At 48.6% G+C, this 21,655-nt stretch overlaps 1 protein-coding gene across 2 annotated transcripts in view, besides 1 other annotated feature; it reads right to left on the minus strand.

Moving 5' to 3' along the window:
- Window positions 1-21,655, minus strand: part of RAB6B (RAB6B, member RAS oncogene family) — a 71,648-nt gene that overhangs the window by 40,433 nt on the left and 9,560 nt on the right. The window contains exon 2 of one of the 2 annotated variants that reach the window (NM_001363953.1): window positions 20,868-20,998. The exons of the other annotated variant lie outside the window; for it this stretch is intronic. Coding sequence (NP_001350882.1) covers window positions 20,868-20,898 — 31 coding nt within the window. The 5' untranslated portion in view covers window positions 20,899-20,998. The remainder of the gene's footprint in view (window positions 1-20,867; window positions 20,999-21,655) is intronic. 2 annotated transcript variants of the gene reach the window in all.
- Window positions 15,797-15,876: an enhancer, noted in NCBI's record as "active region_20560". NCBI's record gives its function as "activates an Ori minimal core promoter by ATAC-STARR-seq in GM12878 lymphoblastoid cells {active_cell/tissue: GM12878}" and the evidence as "EXISTENCE:reporter gene assay evidence [ECO:0000049][PMID:35858748]".

A 21,655-nucleotide genomic window follows, 5' to 3' on the forward strand; every position in this document is an offset into this window, starting at 1 on the left:
TTCAGTCATGGCATCTGAGCTAGGCTCTTCTAAACACACTGCATTTGAAGAAAAGATAACAAAACCAAAAAGCACAGGGGAAAGGCCGAGTTGCAGAAATACAGAAGTGGGAGACAGGCCCCTGCTAGGGACCCCGTGGTGAGGCCACCGAGTCTCTATACCAGGTGGGCTGAGGGCTGTTCCTGCCAGGCACCAGGGTGCTGCCAAGGAGGAGGTATCCCACTGCCCCATGGATTTCCACTACCCAAATCCAGGTCTTCCTTGACCCAGGAGAACCCAGCTGATGCAAGAACCATCTATAAAGAATCAAGGTAAGTGGGTGCAAAACAGGAGGCTCCTCTCGTACTTGCCCATGTACACCTTGTTGTTGGTCATACACTGGAATGGAAGCCTGCCCTTTATTTCCTGTTAATTCAGCCTGAAGATTGGTGGGGACAGTGGCTTTCTAAGGAACCAGGGGCGGGGAGGCAAATGTCATTTCCCCATGTCTCTCATGGACAGGACTATTCTTTGTGTATCTGACCGTCCAGCTCATTGCAGGATGTTTAGCATACCTGGAACCCCGCTAGGTAAATGCCAGGAGGATCCCCAGTCACTGTGACAACTGTAGACTCACTCACACATCTGCAAATGCCCTGTAGGGGCAGTGACACCCCAACTGAGAACAACTGGAACAGCTGAGAGAAAACAGGACGTCTCTTGGGAATCCTACAAATGCTGCTAATTTCCCAAATTGTAGAATTTGGCTTCTGACCTCACCCTGTGCAGCTCCCCTGGGGCCTGGCAGTGACAGAAATGCCAACTGCTGCATTTCTAACCATCTGGGGTGGGGGAAGAGGGCAGTCAAGGGACATTCATTAGGACGGGCCCTGCACGGATGCCTGTCTGTACTGTCCTATCATGTCTCTGCCATGACCCTGGGAGGCTCAGTGGGGAATCTGCCCAGCTGTGCTGGCTCAGAGCCCTTTCTGCACTAGGCTTCAGGAGGACAGGTAATGCTGGCAGGCAAAACAAAAGTACCCTCACCCTCCCATTTCCCAGGCTGGCAGTACATCCACAAGCTGTGCCTGGTGGGGTGGCTGGTCACTCCCTGGAGGGAGCAGGACAAGCCAACAGGACCCCTTGGCAAAGGCCCTTTACCAGCTTTGAGGCCTCAAGAGTGCACCACATAACAGACAAGTGCACTCAGCTCCCAGCAGCCAGCATTTGCTATGGGAAAGATGATCTTCTACCCAGAAGGAGCATCTGACTGACTGTGTTTGGGCTAAATTCAGAAGACCCCATCTTTAACCCAGATTTGGTTAGCTGGATTGAAATCCTATTGGGGTACTTTTCAGCTGTGTCACCTTGAGGTTATCACCATCCCAGGACCTCAGTTCCTCATTTGAAAATGAGTATATTAACATCAAAGACTTCAGGGGGCTGTAGTAAGAATTAAATCAGGTAAAAAGTACAAGGCACATGGGAAATGCTTAAAAGTGGAAGGAGGCAGCAGGTAACTGAGCAAGGTAAGGCAGTTTCCAGAATATCAGATGGAAAAAATATATGTATCACCACCACCCCCAGCCCTCAACTCTGGGCGGCACTCAAGTCATCCCCATTTCACACAATGGGCAATTAGGTGGCAGCTCCTGGCCCAGGGTCAGAGCTGAGTGGGGCTGGGATGTGGCTGCCTGACCAGGTGCTCAGTTCCTATCCAGGTCCTCCTTGATAGGTCATGCTGGGTTCAGGATTCTGCCAGGTCAGGATTCTGCCCTTGTTGGAGAACGCTGACCACCACGCCAACTCTGGGTGGTCAGTGCCAGAAGTGAATTGTAGGGTACCAGCTGGTGTCAGAACAGCCCCATTTTTAAAACAACATTTCTGGGGTGAGCAGAAATGTGCCCAAGATCTCTTCTAATTTTACCTGGAAGCAGCCTTTTCTAAACTTCTGATAGAAACGAGGCTATAAAGAGCATTCTGACTGCTTTAAATCTCCCCTTAAATTTCACATGAAGGTGAGAAGTAGGGGGCCTCCCATACCTGGAGGATCAGCTCTGAGGCCATGAGGCCCCAGGCACCTGGCTGAGGACCACAGAGGGGAAAGTGGGGCAACCCTGAACTAGCAAGAGGCAGATGCATTGGGGAAAACACAGCATCCTCCTTTTTGAAAGGGAGTGGAAAGTTACTGCCTCCTTGGGAAGAGAGGCATCCCAGGGCACGCTGGTCACTTCCCTAGGCAGCGACGCTCTGCGTCTTGCACCTTAGGGAAAGGTGCATGCATCAGGGATCAGGGTGGGGAGATGGATGGGAAGACACTGAGTCTCTTCTCCCCAGGGCCTCCAAGCACAGAGAGGAGAGAAAGCAGGGTCCCAAAAAGCCACTAAGGGCACAGAAATTTCATGGAGTAGCTGAAAACTTGGAAATCCCTGCAACACCTTCTAATGCCAAGGTGCCTCTCCATGAGACACCAGCCACTGGCAGTGGATTAGCACTTGCTCACAGGTCTAGGGGGCAGGAAAACATCCCCTGAAAGTTTTTTACTGGGAATTGTGCAGGAGGAGCTTTTAGGTGTGGGGTCCTGGCCAGAGCTGATATTTTCTATGCATTCCCGCAGTCACCATAATAGGCAACACATGACCCCAGCATTTACAGAGCATGTTCCAGGCACATAGTAGGGGCTGAGTCAGGCACAGAATTGACATGAGAACAGTAAACAGAGGAGACGTGGCACCTGCCCACTGAAGCTTGCAGCAACACTGGGTACCATACCTCCCAGCCCTCAACTCTGGGTGGCACTAATGTCATCCACATTTCACACAACGGGCATTAAGGTGACAGCTCCTGCACCAGGGTCAGAGCTGAGTGGGGCTGGGATGTGGCTGCATGACCAGGTGCTCAGTTCTTATCCGGGTACTCCTTGATAGATCATGCTGGGTTCAGAATTCTGCCAGGTCATTATTGCCACTGCTGTGGCGCTCCAGGGAACAGCCCGTCCCAGGCCAAGTCTGGAATTGGGGGCCTTTCCCCACTTGGTAGGGGCTTGATCCAATCTGAAAGGTCAGAAACTGGTCACTGAGGTGCCCTGGAAGTGCTTTGTGGGGTACAAGGAGGGCTCAGAAAGTGAGGGTTTTAACATCTGGGGCCCAGCACCCCAACTCAGGCTTGAAATGGATGAGGGACTCATTCTTACTTTGCTGCAAAAGGCAATGACTTTACACTATTCCTCTAGGCTCATTTTTCTCATTTCTCGGAGCTGAAGCCTTCTTCCCCACCTCAGAGCCCGCTAAGACTACCCATGCCCTCGTCACTTCTGCCAGGGTAATGTGTGTTACACCCCTGCAGTGGTATCCGAGACCCTTGTCCTCCATGCTTTGTCTCTGGGGAAGTGTCTGCAGACCTGAGGCAGAGCTTATTAAAAGGAGCTCCTCTTGTCCATTTCTGCCCAGCCTCTGCCCATGGTATCACATAAAGGAGCTAGGTGGGTAAGGGGTTGTGCTGTGCTAAGCTCCTCTCCCCTCTAAATGGCAAAGACCCCTTCCTCAGCCCACACCTGCCCTCAACAACTGCCCGGGGTGGAAGGTGCTAGAACCTGCAAATGGAGAACTTGCACACTGCATCTACCTGGCTACTTTCTCAGTCCCCCAACCATAAGGGGTGGGCAGAACCCATCCCGAGCCACCTGACCAGGCACTCCCACTCAGCCTCAGAGGAGCAGTAGCATGGGGCATCCCAGCAGGCCTGCAGCCTGGCAGGTGGAAGAGCCAGGAGCTCCTCCTGTGTCCCCCTGCCTCGCAACAGCTGCCGGAGTTTCTGCGGGAGCTGTCCTCCTGCCAGCTCTGTTCTCAAGGTCACACCGCTGTGCTTCTACCGCAGCTCTCGGACACCACTGCAGCAAAGAGGAGCTTTTTCTGAGGACAAAGATTCAGCTCCACTGGCAGGTTTTATTAAAAATAAGCAGGCAAATCATTATTGAGCTTTTTTATTTTCTCTCTGCTCATGGCTCAGCAATGTTCTTGTAATCTTCTGGTAGTTTAGTCCCACATGATTAAGCAAGGAGATGCATTTCTCCTTTTTCAACCAAATGAGGGTGAGAAAATTCATTACTGAGCATTTACCAGGAGATGCTAGAAAGAAGGAGAGGAAACTCAAACTCTTACTGGGCCTCTATTCAGCAGCAGATGAGAATTTGGCACTTTATTTAGGTTCTCTCATTTAATCCTCATCACGATCCAATGAGTTAGTTATTATTCCAAGGTCACAGAGCTGGGAAGTGGTGGAGCTGGGATAGGAGCACAGATTTGAGCCAGAGTCGATGCCTCATCACTCTGCTGTGCTGGTTTATGTAAAGGTCTGACAGTAGCAAAGCGGCAGATCCCAAAGGCAGGGGTGCAGGTGGCCGGGCAGTCAGGACACCTGCAAGGAGGAGGCAGGGCAGCCACGGGACTGGGAAAGGCTGTGGGTGGGGGTGAAGGGGAATTCCAGACAGAGGGAACAATGTGTGCAAAGGCACAGAGACAGGGAGAGAAAACACTCGTGAGAAGAAACAGAAGGCAACAGGCTAGGTTGCTATGGGGGACACACTTGGAGGCCCCTCAGACTGAGGTTCATCTCAGGGCAAGTGAAGCCAGACAGTGTGTGAGGAAGAGTGAGTAGCAAACATTGTTCATGGAAGCTCCATGTGGCTGTCAGGTTGATTTAAGCCAAACCCATCTCTGGGGCCAGTTGTGGAGGGAGGGAGGGGCAGACAGAGAGAAGTACAAAGGCAGGGGCAGGGGCCACATGGCACAGGCCATGTCAGCCACATGGAGGAGCATGGATTCTCGCCCAAGGGCAGTGGGAGCTTCAGAAAGGATCTTCAGCAGGATGGTGTGAACAGGTGTGGCAGTTCATAATTTCCATAGTGGGCTCATAAAATATTTCCCATCCCATGTGCTCTTCTTACAATCTAACCCTGACATTCCATCAGGGGGTGAATCTGGGCAGGCCTGTGACTATGGCAGAAATGGCCCTGTGGGAATCCCAAGGCTAGCTTAGAAAAAATAGCACAGCTTCTGCCTGGAGTGTGCTCACACTGACACACTCTGGAAGCCAGCCCTGCAACCCAGCAACCATGCTGTGAGGAAGCCCAAGAAGGCCTACAGGAGGGAGACACGCATGCAGCAACCAGCAGACCTGTGAGTGAGCGAGCCTTCAGGTGACTCCAGCCGGCAGACTTCAAGCCGCCTTCAGTGCTGCATGGAACAAAGCCACACCTTCCCTGCCAGGTCCTACTCAAACTACAAATTCGTGAGCGATGTAAATATTTTTATTGTCTTGAGCCACTAAGTTTTGGGGTGGTTTGTTACACAGCATTAGGTAATCAGAGCAATAGACCTGTGCTTTAGAAAAAAGAAAACATGTTAGTCCATTCTCACACTGCTATGAAGAAATACGTGAGACTGGGTCATTTATAAAGGAAACAGGTTTAACTGACTCACAGTCTGCCATTGCTGGGAAAGCCTCAGGAAACTTACAATCATGGCAGAAGGCAAAGGAGAAACAGGCACCTTCTTCACAAGGCAGCGGGACAGAGTGAGGGCAAGCAGGGGAAATGTCAGATGCTTATAAAACCATCAGATCTCATGAGACCTCACTATCACGAGAAGAGCATGGGGGAAACCGCCCCCATGATCCAATCACCTCCACCTGGTCCTGTCCTTGACACGTGGGGATCATGGGGATTACAATTCGAGGTAAGATTTGGGTGGGGACACTCTGCTACAGAATGGCCTACAGAAGCCAGACTAGGGGCAGAAATCTTGCCAGAGATGGAGGATCTCAGTGAACAATGCAGAGGTGGTGGGGCTGGAGAGAATGGGGAGGAGAGCAGGGTACAGGACCAGTGACTGGTCAGATTCAGAGAGGAGCCCAGAACTCCTCCCTGTGACCTGGGTTCATGACCATTAGATGCTAGAGCTATCCCCTGAGCCCAAGACAACTGGACAAGGAACAGACACCAAGCAATCACCTTGGATTCAGTCACTCATAAAAGCCTTCTTCATAATTGTCAGAGCAAAAGCACAAATGCCAGCACTGCATTCAGAAAAAACAATTAACAATAATCATTCAATCCCTTGTCCTAAAGATGTAAGCTTATTTTTCACTATTGGCATCAGCATGAAACAGTTATTTTTCTTACCCTAGTGAGAACTACTGGCCCAGGGGTCTTGCACATCCATGGGGATGTCCAGAGGAGCTTGGTCCCATGTACCCTGGAAATCCCACCAATGCAGGGTGCACTGGATGCTGGCCCTTCACAATCAGCTACCACTGCCTACCTGGACCTCACCAACAGGGGCCATTCACTCCACCAGTGCCCCATGGGCCCCAGGCCCCCATCTCACTGGCAGGTCCCAGGTAAACAGATTCTTGTACATTCTGGTGGTTTCTAGGTAGCTGCAGAGGCCAGTGAGGCTTCTCCAGCCACTCAGCAAACACCCACTGGGGCTCACTGTGTGCCAGTCCTGTTGTGCAGGGCACAGAATTTGTAGTGACAAAGCAGATGCACCTCTGGCCTCAAGCAGTCCATATCCAGTGGTGAAGTGAGACCCAGATCCAAATACTAAAATGCCAGGCAATACGGGAAGGGTCTCCTGAGAGGCCCATGCAAGGAAAGGCCGCTCTGCTGGGGAAATCACAGTAACCTCCTGAAAAAGGCACCATTTGGGCTGAGCCTTGATTGATGGAGATGAGGGGGTCACAGGGAACAACATTCCCGGGGAAGGGACTGGATGAAACGACAGTCATGTGAGGCTGAGATTCCTCTGCTTAAAATCATTTGCCCACATTTCTCCACAGCTGCCACGTGACGCCAAATCCACCCACAGCTTTGGGGCCAGTGGCTATGAGGACTTCTGGTCTTGTCTTGTGCCCACATCACAGTCTGAAAGCTGAGTGGGCAGTAAGTCCCCAGACTCCTCCACTGACACTGCCTCCCTCCACGAAGGACAGCTCTTCTCCCTGTCGCCTCCACAGCGGGTGTGGGTGTGGGTGGAGAGGCTGCTGTAAGGGCCAGAAACTGGGGAGAGCAGGGGGCAGAGCACAGACATTAGCCAGAGACTGCACGGAGGGTTTGCCAGGACCTGGCAGAAGGTGTACCACCCACTAGCTAGCCCCTCACAGAGCCAAGCCAGAACCCTGGCCCACAGTCTGCTCTCGGCTGTGCATCCACACTTACCACACACACCAGCTCTTCAGAGCTCCTGGCCAAACAGTGGGATCCTGATCCTCCTGGGGTCCACAGAGCTGGGCTCAGGGCCTAGGGCCCCAGGAGTTCCGGGAGGAGAGGGCAGGCAGGACAGATGTGGCATAACTCACTGCCATTTCTAAGCCATCTTGGTGGGCTGCCCACCTCTCAGATGCCTGTGTTTTCAGGAAATCAGTCCCTGAGCCAGGAAAAGAATCTCTGCATCCCCGGCCCACAGCCCCCAGCAGCCAGGCCCATTTCAGATAATGTCTGCAGCTTTCAGAAGGTGGTGCTCAGGGCTGAAAAGGCAAGTCTGCTTCCTCATTGTGCAGACCAGTAACCCAGTCCTAGCAGAGACCCGCTGACTCAGCCATCCCATCAGCTCAGTTTCTAGAACAGAAGTGGGAATTGCTGGTATAAATGCTAGGAAGGACCTGCAGAGGGACTCGGCCCTTGCCATGCAGCTGGGAAGGAGGCCAGGCTACCCGCATCCCTGCTGCACAGGGCCCTTGGGGTGAGGCCTGCACCATCCCTGTAACCTCTGCTCATAGTCTACCATTCCTGGCCTGACTGTGAGGTACGGCCCCCAGGCCCTGTGGTGACAAGTGAAACAGTTAGAGACACCAGCTATATCCATCTGAACCTTGTTTCCTTTGGCTCTGTTTTCACCAAACAGAAAGTCCAGCCCTATTCTTCCTCAAAGGTGGGTAAGCTTGGTAGCTGGGCTATCTGCTCCACACCCTACCCTGCCACCCTGGACTCCAAAAGGCAGCCCCAAACTGGGCATGCATCTTTGGCAGCTCCCACTAGAGCCCTGAGGGGCTGGCTGGCTCACCGTAGGCTAAATGAGGAAACACGTGAAAAACCCCATTTCAAACCATCCCCCAAAAGACTCAGATGGTAATTAAGAAATATGCAAAGCTCTTCATTGGACATTTTAATTAAGTGTGTTAATTCCCTCTGCTAGAGGACGCTCAGCCGCCTGGGCCTCACCCAGGGATCCAGAGAAGATGGAAAGGGGAGGGTAGAGGGGAGGGAGGAGTCAAAAGAAGGTGAGGGAGGGAGGGGTTAGCCAGACAGTGGCACAGGCTGGTCTGGCCCAGGCCCTTCTCCTGCACCAGCTAGGAGGCGGACCGATGCCTGACCCTCTCACTTCTCCACTGAGTGCCCCGTCTCACTATCCTGCACCCACCCCATCTCCTCTATCCAAACAGGGGGCCCAGTAAGCCTGCCCACTACAGCAAGAAGGAACAGGGCGAGTGCATCCTAAAGGATCCCATCCACGTAACAGTACATGGACAAGAGCAGAAAAAGGAAAGGCAAAATAAAGGTCCCTTGTCATCACGAAAACTAAGATTCTAGACAGGAGTGTTCCCAGGATGGCTGGTCCTCCAGCTCCTCCTGAACACTTTCAGCAGCTCTGTGGTTGCTGGGGACATGACGGTCTGCTGGGGCTCCACAGGGTGACTGGCTGGAGACTGGAAGATTTAGTCTCAGTTTTCCTTCCTATACCAACACCCTGGACCTCCTCCTGCTTTTTTTCCCCCAGAGGCTCCACCTTTAACACAAAGAGGCAAATTCCAGAGAAACATGCTGCCAGCACAGCTGGGCTGGGAGAGGCCCCATCCTCAGGTACCTGACCAAAGCCCCAGCCGCCACAGAGGAGGGCTCGGCCCCCTCTCCTGCCCTGCAAAAGGTGCTATCATCTTTGGTTTTCTTCTTTTCCTCTCTAGCTTCCTCTCTTCCTGCCTCTACCCCAAGGTTTACTGAGGTACAATCAATAAACAAAAAAATTTATATATTCAAGGTGTAAAATGTGACGTTTTAATATATAGAGAGTTGACCCTTGAAGAAGGCAAGAGTTGGGGCACTGATACCCTGCATAGTCAAAAATCCTCATACGACTTTTTAGTCCCACAAAACTTAACTATTATAATAGCCTACTGTTGACCAAAGCCTTCCTGATAACATAAACAGTTGATTAACAGGTATTTTGTGTTATATGTATTATATACTCTATTCTTAAGATAAGCTAGAGAAAAGAAAATGTTATTACAATCATAGGGAAGAGAAAATAGATTTACTGTTCATTAAGTGAAAGTGGATCATCATAAAGGTCTTCATCTTCATTGTCTTTACGTTGAATAGGCTGAAGAGGAGGAGGAAGGGAAAGGGTTGGTCTTGCTGTCTCAAAAATGGCAGAGAAGAGGTGAAAGAGGTGGACAGGGAGGCAGGACAGGCAGGCACACTGGTGTGAATTTTACTGAAAAATATCTACCTTTAAGTGGATATGCATAGTTCAAACCCATCTTGTTCAAGGGTCATCCATCTATCTATCTATAGTCATGCTTTGCTTAATGAGAGGGATAAGTTCTGAGCAACGCATCATTAGGTGACTCTGTCGTAGTGCAAACATCATAAAGTATGCTTCCCAAACCTAGATGGTACAGCTTACTACACACCTAGGCTATAATGGTACCCTATTGCTTCTAGGCTACAAACCTGCACAGCACATTATTGCAGTGAATACTGTAGGCAATTGTAACTCAGTGGTATTTGTGTATCCAAACATATCTAAACAGCAAAGGTACAGTAAAAGTATGGTAAAAAACATAAAACATGAACAGAGCCATAGGACTGGAAGTCGTTCTGGGTGAGTCAGTCAGTGAGTGGTGAGTAAATGTGAAAGCCTATGACATTACACTACAATAGACTGTACATTTAGGCTACACTAAATCTATTTAAAAATATTTTTCTTTAATAATAAATTAACCTTAGCTCACTACAACATTTTTTACTTTATAAACTTTTTAACTTGTTTTAACATTTTGACTCTTTTGTAATAACACTTAGCTTAAAATACATACACTGTACAGCTATGCAAAAATTATTTCTTTATATCTTTATTCTATATGTTGTCTATTAATTTTTTTTTTTTTACCTTTTAAACTTTTTTTGTTAAAAACTAAGACACAAGCATACACATTAGCCTAGGCCTACATGGGGTCAGGATCACCAATATCGCTGTCTTCCACCTCTCCGTCTCCCACTAGAAGGTCTTCAAGGGCAGTAACACACACGGCGCTGTCATTTCCTGTGATAACAATACTGCTTTCTGGAGGTCCTCCTGAAGGACCTGCCTGAGGCTGTTTTACAGTTCCCTTTTTAAAAAAAGTGAGTAGAAGGTGTACACTCTAAACATAACAACATAAAGTATAGCATAGGCAATACTAGACAACAGGAATTTTTGAGCTCCATTATAATCTTATGGGACAACCTTCATACATGCGGTCTGTCGTTAACCAAAACATTGCTATGCAGCACATGACTATATATACATTGTGAAATGATTACCACAATCAAGCTAATTAACATATTCATTACTTCACAGTTACACGTGTGTGTGTGTGTGCATGTGTTAAGAATACTTAAGATCTACTCGACAAGACACAGACAAATATTGCATGATCTCACTTATATGTGGAAACTAAAAAAGTAGAACACATACAAGCACAGGGTAGAAGGGTGGTTACCAGGGGTCAGAGGTGGGGAAATGGAGGAAATGCTGATTAGAGGGTACAAATTTGCAGTTATAAGAGAAGTTCTGGAGACGCACTATACAGCATGGTGACTCCAGTTAATAATAATATATACTTGATATTTCCAGCTTTTCTTCTTCACTTTCCAAAGCCCCCAGGCCCAGCCTGCACATCAGTCTTGGCCTCAGCCCTTCCATACTCCCATAGAGCCTTATGAGCTCTCAGGACACTGCAAATCATCCCTGCCCTGGGGCTTCTAAACTGAGAGTCCACACCTGACTTGAGATTTCTTCTTGTCCCCCAGCCTGAAGCAGACACTCAGGGCACTAGGGACAATCCATTTCCCTACCTGCTACAGCCAAGTCTGCTGTGAGGACTAATGACTTGGGGTACATTGCCCACAGAATGCATCCCATTACCTTACCCTAAGAAACGCTGGTGCCAAGAGTCAACCCCAGCTTCAAAATCAGGCAGAGGAGAACCGAACGCACTCGTGTGGAGGGAGAGGCAGTACTATCCGGCATGCGACTACTGTGCACAAGGAGTACTTGTACTTATGACTCATGAAAATAAGATTTGAAAACGTAATTATTTAAAATAGTATCAGAATAAAGTAGCTATGTATCAATAACAATGAAAAGCCTCCCAATCCCTCTGAATACCCCTACTGTGTTTGGGGAGGTCCAAAACCATTCTCCCCAGTGTAGGAGCCTCCTCTGCAGCTATTTTGTAGGCAAATAACTGAGGCTTCTCCCAACAGATGTTCACGTAAGACTCTACCAGATTCAACTGACATGAATCTGGTGAGACTGAGAATTCCCTCTGTATTCTAAATTCAGGGGCAGCCATGACATGCATTTCAACATTGGCACCTGCCAGAACACAGCATAGGAGCTGTGTCTCCCCCGGACCAGTTCTATATGACTCGGGCTGCTGCTCCAAGCCCAGATCTCTGACCCTCCCAAGGATTCTATGAACTTCCCAATCATTCCTCTAATACATTCACTGCTTGCTCAAATCTGCTGTATAGAGAGAGTTTCTCTCTCTTATTCACAACTACAAATGCTGAGAGAGATAAAATATAAGGCAAAAGTTATGTAAGCTAAAAAGAGAAAGCTGGACCACAAATTTGCTTACAAAAAAAATCTTGAAAAATCTTCCCTAATTATTGAAGGTAGACTAAGAAACTGTCTAAGCTCCCTGGCAGTCAAAGGGGAAAAAAAGAAGCACAACCAAGGGTAAGATTCACAGTGTTCAGGAGATAAAACTATATCAATTGCCAATATTGAGCTTTTTATAAGAGCTGGGCAGCAGAAAGTTCTCAAAAAGAGTCTGGAGTGCAGAAATTTTGTTGCCACTTGGAGGGCAAGTCTACATATTTATACAATCAACTGGATGAACATCCCAGATGAAAATCAAGGCTGATAACCAGACCACGCAACACTGCCTGCCCAGACTGATGTTCCCTATAAACAAATGAATACACACACAAAAAAAAAAGGTCCCAAGACTTTAGCTCTGGTCAAAATGGAGTAACAGGGACCAGATTTAGCCTCTAACCTGAAACAACCAAAAGACAGACAAGATATATGAAACAACAATTTTCAAGCCACAGGATATTAGGTAATGATGACCCCTGAGATACATGAAACAGAGGAGGGGAGCCCCACAGATTACTGCCCTCAGAAAATTCCAGGCCACAGCACAGGGAGTGGGGACCCAGGTGAAACCCACTGGAAACCCTAGGTTGAAAGGATAGGGCTGAGGCTCAGAGAAAACACAGCAGCTAGAGTTCAGAAGATGGAATACCAGAGAGAGGGAGATGCAGAAAGGGAATGGCAGAGACCTGCAAAGGGTTTCCCTCAAGCCTTCGGCTGAGCACTGATCAGCAAATGTATATGAGGAAACTACTTGAGACTGGGGAAAGACTGCCCAAATGGACTAGAGGAAACAGTGCTTGGCATCCACACCAGGCTGGAGACTGTGCTCTTGCCCAGCAGCCAGAGTGGAAAGTCTCATCATTTACGGGATGCTGGGGAGAGTCCTCAGAAGGGCTGGGCCTCACAGTGGGTAATAATTAGCCATACACTGAGCCCTACTCTGGCCACAGCTAGCAAATCTTAAGAATATTTATAGGAACAGAAAAACTATCCACACACAACAAGGCAAAAATCACAATGTCTGGTATCCAATAAAAAATTATCAGGCATGTAAAAAAGCAAGAAAATAGACTCATAAAGAGCAGAAAAAACAATCAACTGAAACCAACCCCAAACTGACAGAGATGTTATAATTAGCAGATAAAGATATTAAGAAATAGTTATTATATATTATAACTGTTATATAATATATATTATATATAACTTAGTTATTATATATAGAATATATGCTATATACTATATGTTAGTATAATAACATATAGTATAATATGTTTAAGAAGTTACACGGGGTAAAAAATAGATTTTCAAAGACACAAATCAAACTTCCAGAGGTAACAACTACACTGGCTGACATGATTAAACAGATTAGATGTTGCAGAAGAAAAGATCAATGAACCTGAAGACAGTAATAAAAATTACCTAAAGTGAAACACAGTGAAAAAAGAATGACAATAAATGATAAGAACACCAGTAAGCTCTATGATAATGTCAAGTGGTCTAACATCCATGTAACTGGAGTCTTCAAAGGATGAAGGGAGAGGCAGTGACAGAAAAAATATTTGAAGAAATGACTGAAAATACTCCAAAATTAAAGAAAACTATACATCCACAGATTCAAAAATCCCAAGCACAGGAAACATAAAGGAAATTACAGCAAGGCACATCTTAGTCAAATTGCATAGTCAGTGACAAAAAAAATCATAAAAGTAGTCAGAGAAAAAAAGACACATTATGTACAGAGAAACAAACATAAAAAGGACAGTATATTTCTCCTCAGAAACAATGCAAGCAAGAAGGCAATGGTGCAATATCTATAAAGTACTGAAAGAAAAAAACCTGTTAACCTAGAATTCTATGTCCAGGGACAACATCTTTCAAAAACAAAGGTGAGATAAAGACTTTTTCAAACATACAAAAGCTGACAGAATTCATCACCAGCACACTCTCACATCAAGAAATGTTAAAGAAAGTCCTTCAGGAAGAAGTGAAATGAAACCAGATGGAAATGCGGATTTATACAATGGAATGATGAACACAGGAAATGGTCACTACATGTGTATGTAAGATCTTTCTATTATTTGAGTCTCTTTAAAAGATAATTGACTATTTAAACAAAATTAGCAACAATATATTAGATCACAGACCTAAGAAAACATAGAGAAATATCTGCTACCCTGTCAGACGCTATGCAAACCGGAAGAAAATGAAGTGCCACCTTTGCAATACTATAAGAAAAATATTGTCAACACAGAATTCTATACCTAGCAAAAATCTTTCAAAAATGAAGGTGAAATAAAGGCATATGTTGAGACAATTCACTGCTAGCAGATCAACAATACAAGAAAGAAAGCTCTGTGGGCAGAAGGAGCAGGATACCCACACATTCACACTTACATCACATGGGGTCAGCATGTGCACTAAAGTCTGACCGACCTGGGTTTTAATCCTGGCTCTGCCACTCATTTCTTGTGTGATCTTGGGTTAGTTCCTATTCTCTCTGAGGCTCAGCTTTCTTCATACATCCAATAAGGACAAAAATGCCTATCTCACAGAATTGTTATGAATTCTATGAAAGCAGTAACAAGTTAAAATTCAGGGAATCTGGGTGAAAGGCATATGTAAAGTCTTTGTATAATCCTAAAACTGTGTCAAAATAAAAAGTTACAGAAAAAATTATTTTAATTACACGCACACATCCATGTTTCTTAGATTCCTAGCACATTCAGAAAATGGCTTGTTCTGACTAATTAAACATTCTGGTCAGCATGAAATTTTCCTAAGGAACTAGAGTATAACTGTACTTGGCATCAACTCAGGCTTCATGAAGGACCAAGACTTAGCTGGGCACTGGAGAACTGCTCTGCGCCCTTCTAACCACAGGCCAGGAGACAGAAAGCCTGGATCAATCAATTCAGTGGCCAGGGTCCATGTGTAACCACCATGTCTGCACATGCACAGAGATGCATGCAAGTACACATACACACACATGCTCAACTCAGCAGGCATCACAGGCCCTGGTATGGTAGGAACTCTTTAGTTCCCCAGTGTCTTAGCTATGAGGACCGACAGTCAAGGGCAATACCTTCAGGGTTACTTGAAAATCACCTGAGATCTGACCAAACAGCTTGTGTAGACTGCATACCTCCATGGTCAGCTCACTTATGTTCTGAATCCTCTCTGCCTTGCTAAGCCTTCTCACATACACTTGGCAGCTTCAAAAAGGAGCAGGATCTTTCCTCTTGGACCTAAGAGCAGCAGCAGCACCAGCTAGCTTTGAATGCTAGCCACCCTATTCTCATAGCTCAGAGAACAAGAGTCTACATCCTTAGCACACACAGTTACCCTCTGCCATAGCTTCCCTGGAGAGCTAGACTGAAGCAGGCAGAATACAGTCTATTTCAATTGGTTTGAGGCTCAACCCAACTCTGGCCAGACCCTACACAGGCCAATCCTGCCTGTGCATTTGAGCAGTTGCATGGGTGCTGTGAAGAATTAATTCACAGTGAGTATGCATAGTTGTAGAGAAGGAGGAAGTTAAATTCCCACCACCATCTGATCTTTGACAAGGCTAGTATTAATGTAACTTGGTAGCTTATTTAACTGACAGAAGTCTTGGCCCATCCAACCAGCATGGAGTTTGGCAAAGTAATGTATATGCTTTAATACCCAAGGCTTATATACCCAAGGCTTAACTGCTAGTAGTGTTGATGTTAAAAGACTCAGTAATAGGAAAAGAAGGCTGAGGCAGGGAGAATGAGTAAACAGAGTATTGAGAGCGAAACTTGTGTTTCCCAGGTTGTCAGCTGAGACCCAGTCAGAAGGTCTGTGACAAGGCCAATGGGCCCGTAACACCCAACAGTGATGACACAGCTGTGGCCTCGCCATGAGACAAAGCTTGCTCAGGCAAGTGGAAGGAGGCCTCTAGACTGCAGGCTGATGCAGGCAAGGCATCATCCCGGATGCCTGCCCCCTTCTCAGAGGAACCCTTGGCCTTGGCAGCCATAGTGCTGACCTGCTAACCCAGGAAGCCCTGCGGTCTCCATCAACACAGGAAGCTGTCCCTGCACTTCTGCAGCCCCAGCTTCTCTTCCTGTCCTTCCATACACCCTCACACAGCCTGCTCGCTGCTGCTCAACTTTTCTACTTTGCCAAGGAGGAGGGCACAGGCCCTGCCCCTGCCCCTGCAGAGCCAGGTGGTGAGGGGAGCACAAGGGGCAGAGTGAACTTCTAGACCTCTCATTCAGTCAACAGAAAGAACTCTCCTCCTGCCCCCAGAAGGACTCAATGTCACCTGCTCAGGATTGATTCAAGAGTAGTGATGGCCTTTCCAGTGAAATTTAAGAGATGAAGACCACTGACTCTGGGGTGGAAAATGCACTTAGATCCCAAGGACCCTGGACCCGGGAGTAGGCACAGGACCACCAAGCAGGCCAGGAGGCCCACTGTGTCTCTAGCCCTTATGGACTGAGACTGCTGGTCAGGCATTAGGGTCAACAAAGGGCCAGGCTGGGGGGTGGATCAAGGGGAGCTGCGTCAATGTCCACATATCCCCCACTGGACTTGGATGCTTGGGCACCAGGGCAAGGAGATGGTGGCCAGGCTCACCTGTCCCCATGCTGCGAGCTCTGGGTCCCTAAGGTTAGCCCTTCTCAAAAGCAGCACTATAGATGAGCCACAGAGGAGACTGGAGCTGATCTTATCAGAGGAGATGTGAAGAGGGGCCACAGAAGAGGGACCACTTGCCCAGGATCACACAGCACCAGGGTCATGGCCAGACACTATCTCTTTCGGTGCACAGCCAAGGGCTTGACCTCAGAGACTGCTCTTCTTACTCCTGCTTTTGCCACTAATCTGAGCCCAGAAGGCTTACCAATGTGTCCCTGTGTCATGAGGCCCAAATGGAAACACACAACATGGGAAGTGCCAAGGAGCAGCAGAGAGTGAACCACACTAATGCCTGGAGGCCCAGCTTCTAGAAGGATCACAGATGATCAGAGTGACCTCAGAAAATCACGTCATGGCAAGAAGGGCCTAGAGAATATGTGGTCTAGCCCTGCATGCCACAGAGGAAAAATCTGAGGCCTAGAAAGAAGGAGGGTTTACTCAGAACACAAAGACAGAACAGGAAGAAAGAACAATAGCAGATCAAGAACCAGGGCCTGACCCCAATGAGTGCTTCACAGGTTGGACCAGGCTGGCTACTTAACCTGACAGGTCTCAGCTCCTCCTGGACACTCCAATGTCTTCTGTGTAAAATGAGGCCATCTCAGGTGTCACCTTCCTCTAAAATCTTCACCCTATCTGTATTAGTTATCTGTTGCTTTTACAAATACCAGGAATTCAGTGGCTTAAAACAATATATTAATACATTTATTATGTCATATTTCCATGGGTCAGGAGTCTGGACATGACTTCACTGGATCCTCTGCTCAGCATGTCACAAGGATGTAATCAAGGTGTCAGCTGGGCTACATTTCTTTCTGGATCAGGGAGTCATTTTCCAAGCTTGTGTGCTTGTTGACAGAATTTGGTTCCTTGTGGTTGTAGGACTTCCCCCCACGGGCTGCTCTTATTTCCTGAAGGCCACCCACATCCCTTGCCACGTGACCCCCTCACAGGCCCTCTCTCAGCACAGCAGCTTACTTCTTCAAGGCCAGCAAGAGGAGTCTCATAAAGAAACATAATCATGGGAGGGACTATCCCATCACCTTTGAACCTTTGCCGTACAACATAACCTGATTGAAGGAATGCCACCTATCACCTTTGCCACACTATATTTGCTACAAGCAAGTCACAAGTTCCATCTGCACTCTGGGGAGGAGGCTATGCAAGGGTATGACTCACCTGGGGTCACCTTAGGTTGTGTCTACCACACCATCTCACAGTCAGGTTCCTAAGAGATGCAGCCTTTACTCTTTACTCCACCTCTGCCTTTTCTCCCACTGTGGTGAACCGGGCTGATCACCTGGAACAAAACCTCACAGGTCTCTGCCTTGAGACTAAAGCGCTCCTAGCTGGCCTGGGCAGAGGCTGAGTCCTGCCTGTGTGCTTCACTGGGCATCTGCATGCTGCTCTATCCAGTTCTCCCACATCACACCCAGCCCTCCCCCAGGCAGAGGTGGAAGGACCAGCAGACACAGCTGCCCAGGCCACAACTCCAGCTGAGTGTGGTCTTCTTGCTACATGATAGAGGCAGGAGAGGAGCTGAGTTCTTCTGGCCCAACATCTGGGGTGCTATCCTCTTCTGATGAAGATGGGTGAGAGTCAGGGTCAGGTGGCTAGCTAGGTACCTCTTCAGGTCTCCAGTTCACTTCTAATCTGGGCAGCAGCCTGCAGTGTTTGGGTTGAATGTAGGGGAGGGAGGGGAATTTAATGAATCAGAATCAGGGGATAATTTCCAGATCTTGGTGCCACAAGTAGGATTTGCTAATATCCTTAAAATAATTTGGGAGTGGTTTCTCCCCCAAAAGAAACCCTTTGGAGGTTTGCTCTGTTCACAGAAGTGCAGAACCAAACAAAGATCACTAGTGCCAAGACCTGACTCTACTCACAGCAGCCCAGAGACAGTCTGGGAACTGCAGGGTCACAGTGAGGCAGAGCCAGACAGCCTTGGGGAGGAAGAGACAAAGCTCAGTCTGCTCCTCAAAGCCAGTGCTGGCAGCACAGAGGCAGTGTGCTGGAAAACACCCTCCCTCAACCTCCAAGGCAAGGTAACAGCCTTTCTCTCTTCTCATTTCCCCTGCTTTGCTGGGCTGGAGCTCCTCATCTTGTCCTCCACACAAACACAGAACTGGTCCATCGTCCTGTGCCCCCATACTCATCAGTGGCTCCATGGGAACCTCCAGCCTTTCATTAAATTTGGTTAGGACCCTGGGATGGACAGCACCCTGCCCGGACCTTGACCCACCCTGGCTCCCAAGGGCCCTGTGCATGGCCAACAAGCCCCCATCTGTGTCTGGTAGGAAGCAGTGTCTGTGAGCCTCTCCCTTCGGTCTCAGCACTTCTATGGATCTCTCTTCCCCAGTGCCCCTTGCTTCCCCTGTTTGCCCTCTTAGCCCTCCTCTTTTACTGAACAGGGGAAAGAAACAAGAAATGTGTTCTAAGTGCCTCACTTACTGTTTAGTCTATGCAGTGTTTATTCCCCCCACTCACAGACAGGGTCAGAAAAGAACATTTTCTCTTCCTTTCTCAGAATTAGCACAGCCACTCCCAGAGAGAAAGGTTTTCCTTATCTCTAGGGACTTGTCCCTGGTGCACAGGCCAAAGTTGCAGCTCTCCAATCCTGAGCCAAAATGGTCCTCCTCCTGCCTGCCCCAGGGTTGGGGGAAACAGAGGGACCAGAGGAGGCTGGAAGAGGTCAAAGCTGGGCTGTGTTGTTTGTGGCCCAGCCTTCCAAACCAGTTTTTCTCTGGGCCAGCTGCTTCAGGCAGAAGAGCCACCTCTGCTGAGCACCAAGATGAGGGGGCAGCTCTCCTTACCCACCCTGAACTCACAACCTGGCACTGCTCAAAGAGGCCAAGGGTGGTGACTGAAAAATGCTGTAATCATTGATGCTGCAAAATTAGGATTACTCCATGCACCAGCTACACTGGCAAAGGAATACCAAGGTGGTGCTCAGTAACGTCCAGTGGGCACTGCCTATGCAGAAGAACAGGAAGGGCAGGGAGCAAAAGTCATCAGGCCTTTAGAGGGTGGGGTTTCAAAACTTAAAGCAGATCATGAGCTGACCCGTGAGCAGGGGGGTGCACCAATTGACCTGAACAGGCTGCCTTCTCTGGGTTAGGGGAGGGTTCAAAACGGCAGTGTCTGCCTCTACTCTGGCCCCTTGGCTTTCAGCCTTAGCTTTTTGTGCAGCCAGCTTAAGATGGGTCTCTGTTCTCCAAGGCATGGAAAGGGGCACTCCCTTCTACAATGCTGCTCTCTCTCAAGTCCTTGGGGACTCCGGAGCTTGCTGGGGTGATGGAACCCAGCAGACAGGCATAGGGGAAAATATCCAAGAAAGCAAAGGAAGTGATCAAGTGTCCACTGGAAGAGAAGTCCAGTGAGACAGGGAGGGACAGGAAGCTGCATAACAGGGCTAGGGGGCCTCATATAACTAATGACCAGAGGACGGGGGTGCTCACACACCCAGTGCCCAGAGGACAGGACACAAACACACCTAATGACAGAGAATGGAGGACTCACATACCCAGTGCCCAAAGGACAGGGGGCCCCACATATCCCAGTAACCAGAGGATGAGGGGCTCACACACCAATGATCAGAGGATGGGGGGCTCACACACCAATGATCAAAGGACGGGGGATTCACACACCAAATAATCAGAGGACGGGGGGGCTTATATATCCCAATAACCAGAGGATGGGGGGCTCACACACCAATGATGAGAGGACGGGGGACTCACACACCAAATAACCAGAGGACGGCGGGGCTCATATATCCCAATAACCAGAGGATGGGGGGCTCACACACCAATGATCAGAGAATGGGGAACTCACACACCAAATGACCAGAGGATGGGGGACTCACACACCCAATGACCAGAGGATGGGGAACTCACACATCCAATGGCTAGAGGATGGGCTGCTCACACACCAATGATCAGAGGACAAGGGGCTCACACATCCAACAGCCAGAGGATGGGCTGCTCGCACACTAATGATTAGAGGACGGGAACTCACACACCCAATGACCAGAGGAGGGAGGGCTCACATACCCAATGACCAGAGTATAGGGGACTCACACACCTAATGACCAGAGGACGGGGGACTCACACACCCAATGACCAGAGGACGGGGGACTCACACATCCAATGGCCAGAGGATGGGCTGCTCACACACTAATGATCAGAGGACGGGAACTCACATACCCAGTGACCAGAGGACAGAGGACTTACACACCCAATGACCAGAGGATGGGGGACTCACACATCCAATGACCAGAGGATAGGGGAGCTCACACACCCAATGGCCAGTTTCTGGTCATATGCCACATCCAACCTGAGCAGGTAGCAGAGAGGGAGGAGTCCGGAAGGGCTGCCAGCAGTCCCGCAGAACACCCATGGAAGGCCAGAGCAGTCAGGGAACCCAGGGCACTGTGGAGATAGGATGGACAGGGGAGCTTAAAGGGGCTAGCTTTGGTCCATCTGCGTACAGTGTGGCCTTGCAGAGAGAGACAATAGTCCCTCCCCTACAATCCTTCATTGTTCCTGAGGCCTCATTCTAAGAGAAAGAATCAAGAAAATATACATCTGCAGTGGAGCTGAGCTTCAGAACTGGAAGGAAGCTTAAGTTTACAAGCCCTCTCTATAAATTCCATCCTCGGAACGTTTCTGTTCTGACCTAGTTCAGCCACCTGGATCTCCTGCCTCCAATCAGAACACATTCTGCCTTCACCTTCTAATCCATGAGCATGTCCCTCTGGGTCAAAACTCCCCAGTGGATCCCCACTGCCTGCAGGGAGGTCCTCCAGGGCCTGACCCTACTGACTCCCCCAGGCTCAACCCCTTCTCCCCCACTATTTCTCCACCCGCACCAGAATCCCACCACCCTGAACCACACCCGATTCCCCAGAAACCCCAAGCCTTTCACTGCCTGGGCATGGTCAGGCCCTCTGCCCTCAGTGCCTCCCCTTCTTTGCTGGTGAGTTCCTGCTCACTATGCAAAACCTCCTCCAGAAAGCCTTCCCTGACTCCTCCAAGCACATCACGCCCATAGCCTTGCTTGTGTATGTAATACTAATCTTAATACTG

The sequence above is a fragment of the Homo sapiens genome, chromosome 3 (genome assembly GCF_000001405.40).
Source record: "Homo sapiens chromosome 3, GRCh38.p14 Primary Assembly".
NCBI classification, from domain to species: domain Eukaryota; kingdom Metazoa; phylum Chordata; class Mammalia; order Primates; family Hominidae; genus Homo; species Homo sapiens.